We start from the raw sequence: 9,552 nt of genomic DNA on the forward strand, positions 1-9,552 counted from the left end.
GTCTTGCTCTGTCGCCCAGGCTGGAGTGCAGTGGCGCGATCTCGGCTCACTGCAAGCTCCGCCTCCCGGGTTCGTGCCATTCTCCTGCCTCAGCCTCCCGAGTAGCTGGGACTACAGGCGCCCGCTACCACGCCCGGCTAATTTTTTGTATTTTTAGTAGAGACGGGGTTTCACCGTGTTAGCCAGGATGGTCTCGATCTCCTGACCTCGTGATCCGCCCGCCTCGGCCTCCCAAAGTGCTGGGATTACAGGCGTGAGCCACCGCGCCCGGCCGCAATATACACTTTTTAAAGCAGTAAGAAAACCTCAAGGTTACTCACACTTCATCCTTTGTACAGAAGAGTCTCTTAAAAATAAGAAAGGTTGAGTTATTTGCCGAAGTTTCGTGGTAAATTGCAGCAGAATTGAGAAGACAGCCTTGATTTCCTATCTCACCATCCAGTGCTGTTTCCATTATAAGCACATTTACATCATGGCCTTAACAATGAAGTGAGCTAATATGACTTAATCTTCATATTTCTTGACTAGTGATTACATTTTTACTTATTGCTGTATCACAAAGTTGCCAAGAAGCTTTATAAAAAAATGGCACAAACTGTGATTTTATGATACATCAGTCTTTTCTTGATATCGACTAGGCTGAAGATGACATTTTTTTTTTGGCCAACTTTTCTAATCTGCCAAATAGCTTTTTAAAAGCAATAAATATAAAGTAAAATTTCAAAGCAAATGCTCACTCAATTCTCAAGGCAACAATTTAGAAAAGGAAAGCAACAGAAATGTCAGGAGGAGCCTCTAAGAGGTCATGTGGCCTTGGATGGAACTTTGCACTCTCTCAGATCCCTCCAGGAAGGAAAGCCATTTGTGCTGGCCGCGCTGGGGCGGAGCAGTCCCTGAGAGTCAGGTGCAGAGCTGCTTGGGATGTGCTCTCCACCCTTTTCCTCCCCAGGAGACTTCTTAGAGCACTTGGAGCAATAAAAGAAGGAATCAATTCAACTCTCCTGCTTGTGGAACAGATTAGGAGATATGGACTTGTGTAAAATACTTTAATTTTCACATTGCTAGAATTTATTATTATATTGAAGGCTGTTGTATTAGTTTGTAAGGGCTGCCACAGCTAAGTATCAAACTGGGTGGCTTAGGCAGACAAAATCTATTTCCTCACAGCTCTGGAGGCTAAGCTTAAGATCAAGGTGTCAGCAGGGTTTCTTCTGAAGCTTGGCTCATAGAGTGTCATCTTCTCTTTGTCTCCACACAGCCTTCCCTCAGTATCTCCCTGTGTCCTCATCACCTTTTCTTATAAGGACATCAGTCATATTGGATTAGGACCCACACACATGACCTCATGTTATCTTAATTACCCCTTTGAGATCCTGTTTCCAAACACAGCCACATTATGAGGTAATGAAGGTTAGGGCCTCAATATAGGAATTTTGGAGGAACACAATTCTTTAACAAATGTCTTTTGCTAGAGATCCAACTTCCAACATGAAGTAAAGAAAATGTGGGGCCATGATTTGAGGATGCTTTTTGGGAATATGACAATTCTATATAAAGTGCCAACCAGGCCTCTGCTTTTCTGTTGGCAGAAAACCTGGAAGACAGTTCTGAATTGAGCCCCTGGTTAGGTAGCTTGCAGTTAGATTCCAGGACCCTAACACTGAAAACTGACACTTGTTTGTTATTTCCATAACTTAAAGTCTATGTTAAACAACATTCTTGCTTATAGTTAGGGTGGGCTTATGTCAGTGACAGAAGCTTGATTCAAGTGCTCATTTATAATAAAACATCAGCTATTTATTTTTTGATGACTAGTTTATTATGGTATATTAGTCAGGGTTCTCTAAAGGGCCAGAACTAATAGGATAGATATATACATGAAGAGAAGTTTATTAAGGAGTATTCACTCACACAATCAGAAGGTGAACTTCCACAATATACTGTCTGCAAGTTGAGGAGCAAGGAAGCAAATCTGAGTCCCAAAACCTCAAAAGTACAGAAGCCAATAGTGCAGCGTTCAATCTATTGCTAAAGGCCCAAGAGCCCCTGGTAAACCATTGGTGTAAGTCCAGGAGTCCAAAAGATGGAGAACTTGAAGTCAAATGTTTGAAGGCAGGAAGTACCCAGCACGGGAGAAAGACGAAGGCCAGAAGACTCAGCAAGTTTAGTCTTCCCACATTCTTCTGCCTGCTTTATTCTACCTGCACTGGCAGTTGATTAGATGGTGCCCACCCAGATTGAGGGTGGGTCTGCCTTTCCCAGCCCACTGATTCAAATGTTAATCTCTTTTGGCAACACCCTCACAGACACACCCAGGATCAATACTTTGCATCCTTAAATCCAATCTGGTTGACACTCAATATTAACCATGACAAGTCCACCCCTTGTGAACTTGAACCCGTACACATCTCCTGGAATCATATATAATATTCAAATAAAGACAATAATGAAGTTCATAATTATGCCTAACATAATACAACTATCTTTCATACAACCAGAAGTGTACTAACCCTTAACATAAATACTACTTCATGAAGTTAACAACACTTAAATCCTGACATGAAGTCAATAACTCTTATGTCACATGATAAAGGAAAAAGGAAATAAAATGAAGATATTTTATTAATACAAGTGTATACATTCACGAACGTGTTCTTAACAAAATAAGAAGGAAATACTCATCACAATTAGTCCTCGTTTCTGCAACTGGTCATGTGGTTGTCGCTGGTATTGATGACTACCTTCTTCTACTTTCTGTAGAAGTACATTCTGTGTTTCCTTTGCCTTCAGCAAGCACCTCAGCAGGTTGTAGTTTTTTACCTGGTGAAGTGACCCAAACCTTCATTCACGAAGGGTCTGGTCCATTTGCAGTCCTGCCTGGATTGGGTTGTTGTAGTTTCCCATTGATCTTAATCACAGAGCATGGTAATACTAACAGACACACTAATGGGTGTCTTGTATTCCATGCGTACTCTTCCTTACCTCCATTATGGAGTAGTACACAGATTTCATCTGGTAGTCTGGGTAAATCACCCCAGCAAATACTGTAACTCTCTTCTAACCTGTTGGCTTAGAGGTAGGAGAAGCCAAAAGTGGCCAGATGGCAACCTTAACTTCCAGTTTAATGGAATCATTGTTGTATATCCTGGTGGCAGCATTCCTGTCTCTGGAACTAAGACCTTTAAGCCAGCAGAATGTAATGTCATGGGAACATGAAGCAAGAATTTTGCTAGTGCGTCATTAGGGGTGATGATGAATGGTGCCACTTCCACTTCCATCACTTGATTCCTGGACCTGTGAATCCTGGTTATGGGAGAAAGAGTACCATATTTTGGATGCTGATTTAGAGCATACAAAGATTTCTGGAGAACTTTGCCCCAGCTCTGCAAAGTATTGTCACCTAGTTAGCATTAGAATTGTGACTTCAAAAGGCCATTCCACAGTTCTATCAATCCAGCTGCTTCATGATGGTGGGAAACATGGTAAGACCAGTGAATTCCATGAGCATGAACCCACTGCCACACTTCTTTAGCTGTGAAGTAAGTGCCTTGGTCAGAGGAAATGCTGTGTGGAATACCATGACAGATAAACCATTCTGTGAGTTCATGGGTGGTAGTCTTGGGAGAAGTATTGCATACAAAATAGGCAAACCCATATCCAGAGTAAGTGTCCATTCCAGTGAAGACAAACTGCTGCCCTTTCCATGATGGAAGAGGTCCAGTATAATTAACCTGCCACCAATTAGCTGGCTGATCACCCTGAGGAATGGTCCCATATCAAACGCTCAGTGTTAGTCTCTGCTGCTGGCAAATTGGGCACTCAGCAATGGCTGTAGCCAAGTTAGCCTTGATGAGTGGAGTTAGCCTTGATGAGTTCATGTTGCTGAGCCCATGCATAACTTCCATTCTTGCCACCATGACCACTTTGTTGATGGGCCCATTGGGCAATGATAGGGGTGGCCGAGGAAAAAGGGTTAGTGGTGTCCACAGAATGAGTCATCCTATCCACTTTATTATTAAAATCCTCCTCTGACGAGGTCACACTTTGGTGAGCACTCACATGGGATACAAATATATTCACAGTTTTTGACCACTCAGAGAGGTCTATCTGCATACCTCTTCCCCAAATTTCTTTGCCACCAATTTTCCAATCGTGCTTTTTCCATGTCCCTGACCATCCAGCCAAACCACTGGCTACAGCCCATGAATCAGTGTATAATCACACATCTGGCCATTTCTCCTTCCAAGCAAAGTGCATAACCTGGTGCACTGCTCAAAGTTCTGCCCACTGGGAAGATTTACCTTTGCTACTGTCCTTCAGGGATGTCCTAGAAAGGGGCTGTGGTGCTGCAGCTGTCCACTTCTAGGTGGTACCATCATATCTGGTATCATGTATAAACACCTGTAAACCAGGTTCTGGTATTGTGCAGAACCGTCAGTAAACCAGGCCCTAGTCTTCTCTTCCTGTGTCAATTAATTATAGAGATCTCCCCATGAGGTCATTGGTGCAGGCTGTGGGAGGGAAGGCAGGATAGCAGGAGTGGAAGTCATGGGCATTTGAGCCACTTTCTCATATAACTTACTTGTGCCTTCTGGACCACGTATATACCATTTCCATTTGATGATGGAATGCTGTTGTGCATGCTCAACTTAATGGCTAGATGAGTCAGAAAGCACCCAGTTCATGATAGGCAGTTCAGGTTGCATGGTGACTTGATGATCCACAGTTAAACATTCAGTTTCTACCAAAGCCCAGTGACATGGTTTGGCTGTGTCCCCACTGAAATCTCATCTTGAATTGTAGCTCCCATAATCCCTATGTGCCATGGGAGGGACCCAGTGGGAGGTAACTGAATCATGGGTATGGGTTTTTCCCATGCTGTTCTTGTGATAGTGAATAAGTCTCATGAGATCCAATGGTTTTATAAAGGGCAGTTTCCCTGCACATGCTCTCTTGCCTGCCACTATGTAAGATGTGCCTTTGTTACTCCTTTGCCTTCCACCATGATTTTGAAGGCCCCAGCCATGTGGAACTGTGAGTTCATTAAACTTATTTTTCTTTATAAATTACCTAGTCTTGGGTATTTCTTATAGCAGTGTGAGAATGAACTAATACAGTAAATTGGCACTAGTAGAGTGGGGTACTGCTATTAAGATACCCAAAAATGTGGAAGCATCTTTGGAACTGGGTAACAAGTAGAGGTTAGAACAGTTTGGAGGGCTTAGGAGTAGACAAGAAGATGTGGAAAAGTTTGGAACTTCCTTGAGAATTGTTAAACAGTTTTGACCAAAAAGTCCAGGCTGAGGCGGTCTCAGATGGAGATGAGAAACTTATTGGGAACTGGAGCAAAGGTGATTCTTGCTATGCTTTAGCAAAAAGACTGGTGGCACTTTGCCCCTGCCCTAGAGATCTGTGGAACTTTGAACTTGGGAGAGATGATTTAGGGCATCTGGTGAAAGAAATTTCTAAGTAGCAAAGTATTCAAGATGGGACTTGGGCGCTCTTGAAAGCATTCAGTTGTATTGATTCACAAGGATACAATTTGGAATGGCTTAGGTTTGAAAGGGAAGCAGAGCATAAAAGTTCAGAAAATGTGCAGCCTGATGATGCAATAGAAAAGTAAAATCCATTTTCTGAGGAATAATTCAAGCTGGCTACAAAAATTTGCATATGTAACGAGGAACCAAATGTTAATCACCAAGACAATGGGGAAAATGACTCCAGAGCATGTCAGAGGTCTTCACAGCAGCCTATGCCATCACAAGCCAGGAGGACTAGAAGGGAAACTGGTTTCATGGTCCAGGCCCAGGGCCTTGCTGCATTGTGCAGTGTTAGGTCTTGGTGCCCTGAATCCCAGCCATGGCTAAAAGGGGCCAATGTACAGCTCAGGTCATAGCTTCAGAGAGTGTAAACCCAATGTCTTGGTGACTTACACTTGGTATTGGGCCTGCAGGTGTACAGAAGTCAAGAATTCAGGTTTGGGAACCACTGCCTAGATTTCAGAAAAATGTGTGGAAATGCCTGGATGTCCAGGCAGAGGTGTGCTGCAGGGATGGAGTCCCCCTGGAGAACCTCTGCTAGGGCAGTGTGGAAGGGAAATTTGGGGAGGGAGCCTCCACACAGAGTCCCCACGAGGGCACTGCCTTGTGGAGCTGTGAGAAGTGGGCCACTGTCCTCCAGACCCCAGAATGGTAGATCCACTGACAGCTTGTACCATGCACCTGGAAAAGCCACGGGCATTTAATGCCAATCCATGAAAGCAGCCAGGAGGGGGGCTGTGCCCTGAAAAGCCACAGGAGCAGAGCTGCCCATGACCACGGGAACTAACCTCTTGTATCAATGTGACCTGGAGTCAAAGGAAATTATTTTGGAGCTTTAAGATTTCACTGCCCAAGTAGATTTTGAACTAAATGGGGCCTGTATCCCCTTTGTTTTGGCCAATTTTTCCCATTGGGAATGTGTGTATTTACCTGATATCTGTACCCACATTGTATCTAGGAAGTAACTAACTTGCTTTTGATATTACAGCCTCACAGGCAGAAGGGACTTTCCTTGCCTCAGATGAGACTTTGGACTTGGACTTTTGAGTTAATAATGCAATGAGTTAAGAACTTGGGGAACTGTTGGAAAGGCATGATTGGTTTTGAAATATACGGACATGAAATTTGGGAGAGGTCAGGGGCAGAATGATATGGTTTGGCTCTGTGTCCCCACCCAAATATCACCTTGAATTGTAGCTCTCATAATCCCCATGTGTTGTGGGAAGGACCTGGTTGGAGGTAATTTTCTCATGGGGGAAGGTTTTTTTGCATGCTGTTCTCATGATGGAGAATAAGTCTCAAGAGATCTGATAGTTCTATAAAGGGCAGTTCCCCTGCACATGCTTTCTTGCCCGCTGCCATGTAAGATGTACGTTTGCTCTTCCTTTGCCTTCTGCCATGACTTTGAGGCCTCCTTAGCCATGTGGAACTGTGAGTTCATTAAACCTCCTTTTCTTTGTAAATTACCCAGTATTGGATATTTCTTATAGCAGCATGAGAACTGACTAATATACCCAGTAACATGCCAAGAGCTGTCTCTCAAAAGAAGAGTATCTCTCTGTGGAAGATGGAGGGCCTTGCTCCAAAATCCTAGAGGCCTCTGCTGTGAGTCACTTATGGGGGCCTGCCAAAGGCTCCAAACAACATCCATACCTGCCTCTCACACTGCAAGCACCATTGGATCTGCTGGATCATATGGCCCAAGTGGCAGAACAGCTTGCACAGCAGCCTGAACCTGTTGCAGAGCCTTCTCCTGTTCTGGACCCCACTCAAAACTGGTAGCCTTTTGGGTCACTTATTAAATGGGCTGGAGTAACACACCCAAATGAGGAATATGTTGCCTCCAGAATCCAAATAGACCGAGTAGGAGTTGTGCTTCTTTCTTGATTTTAAGAGGGGCCAAATGCAGCAACTTATCCTTCACCTTAAAAGGAATATCTTGGCAGGTCCCATGCCACTGGTCCCCTAGAAATTTTACTGACATAGAAGTTCCCTGAATTTTAGTTAAATTTATTTCCCATCACCTGGCACACAAATGTCTCACCAATAAGTGCACAGTGTTTGCTGCTTCTTTCTCATGGATCCAATCAGCATAATGTTGTCAATGTAGTGGACCAATGTAATATTTTGTGGAAGGGAAAAGAGATCAAGATCTCTGTGAACAGGATTATGACACAAAGCTGGAGAGTTGATATACCCCCGAGGTAGGGCAGTGAAGGTACATTGCTAGCCTTGCCAGATGAAGGCAAATTGCTTCTGGTGGGCCTTATGGAATGGAGAAAAAGGAATGGAGAAAATGGCATTTGACAAATCAATGGCTGCATACCAGGTACCAGGAGATGTGTTAGTTTGTTTAAGCAATAAAACCACATCTAGTACAGCAGCTGCAATTGGAGTAACTACTTGGTTAAGCTTACCATAATCCACTGTCATTATTAAAGATCCATCTTTCTTCTGCACGGGCCAAATAGGAAAGTTGAACGGGGTTGTGATGGGAATCACCACCCCTGCATCTTTCAAGTCCTTGATGGTGGCACTAATCTCTACAGTCTCTCTGGGAATGCAATATTGTTCTTAATTTACTATTTTTCTAGGTAGAGGCAGCTCTAATGGCTTCCATTTGGCCTTTTCCACCATAATAGTCCTCACCTTACCAATCAGAGAGCCAGTGTGGGGAATCTGCCTGCTGCTGTGTATGTCTATGCCAATTATGTATTCTGGCACTCAGTGCCCTCAGCCTCATCAGGGTCCTCCCACACATCCCCCATTCCAAGTTGCAGGGTCCCGTATTTTTTCCAATTAATGCCCTCACTTTAACAGTAGACACACCTGGTGAGGCCAAGCGTGTACGTTTTGTTGCAGGTCAGCCACTAGCATGATAAGAGCTTGTGTCTGATATTCCACAATTTCAGCCCTTTGTCTACAGGAGATAAGATTCTCACCCAGGGGAATCTTTTAGAAGATTTGAGGCTCAGTATGTGCTCTGGAGCTGGGAATTAGAATCCCCGAGCACATCATTTTCTTTCATCACTTTGTCCAGCAAACATAGAAGCAACAAACCAACTTCATTATGTTCCATGGTTTTCCACATATGGTCAAAGATATCATGTGTAGAGTCACTAAACTCCTTGCCTCTCATAAGCAGTGAATCAGGAGTATCAAATATATTTATTTTGCATAACTCTCTCAACAATTCATGCAAAGGGCTATCAATGTTCTCCATACTATTAGAAAGTAGAGTCCTTATCATTTTTGGGCCTAATAATATTAAGCAGTCAACTCTTGAAACCCTCAAAGCAACTAAAAAATCCATCCTTAAAATTCTGTTCCTCTCAAAGCACTTCTGGTACCAAAATCTGTTTTAGTCAGGGTTCTCTAGAGGGAACAGAACTAATAGGATAGTTTATTAAGGAGTATACTCCTTAATAAACTCCCTTAGAGTAATAGTATAGTAAAAGTGTGAGAAGACATTACTTTGTAATGTTAAATGTATTAAAAAGAGAAAACATGACTTCCTTCTTTTTATGCCTATGTAATATTCCACTACGTATGTGTACTACGTTTTCTTTATCCAATCCACTGTTGATGGGCACCTGGGTCGATTCCATGTCTTTTCTATTGTGAATAGTTTTGTGGTGAACATATGGTGCATGCATCTTTTTGGTAGAATGATTTCATTTTCCTTTGGAAATAGATGAAGCTGAGAACTCCAAAGTCCCCAATTCACCTGATTCTCTGTCAACAGGAGAGCCAGTTCATGTACACTCATCTGAATAAATTAGTTTTCTATATAGGCACACTGCTTATATGAAATGCACACAGTGTTTTTTTGAAGGGCATTGCACTGAGTAATAATTAAAATGACCACTGGGTTGTATTGCTGTTTTATCTCATGTTCTTTTCTAACAGCGTATTTATTTTTACTGCAGTTTCTACTTTTGTTTCCACGACCCTTGGTGTCACTTTTCTCTCCTACAGCACTTCTAATATTGCTGATATAAATCATTTTCTC

Source organism: Homo sapiens, chromosome 18, assembly GCF_000001405.40.
Source record: "Homo sapiens chromosome 18, GRCh38.p14 Primary Assembly".
Lineage (NCBI taxonomy): Eukaryota > Metazoa > Chordata > Mammalia > Primates > Hominidae > Homo > Homo sapiens.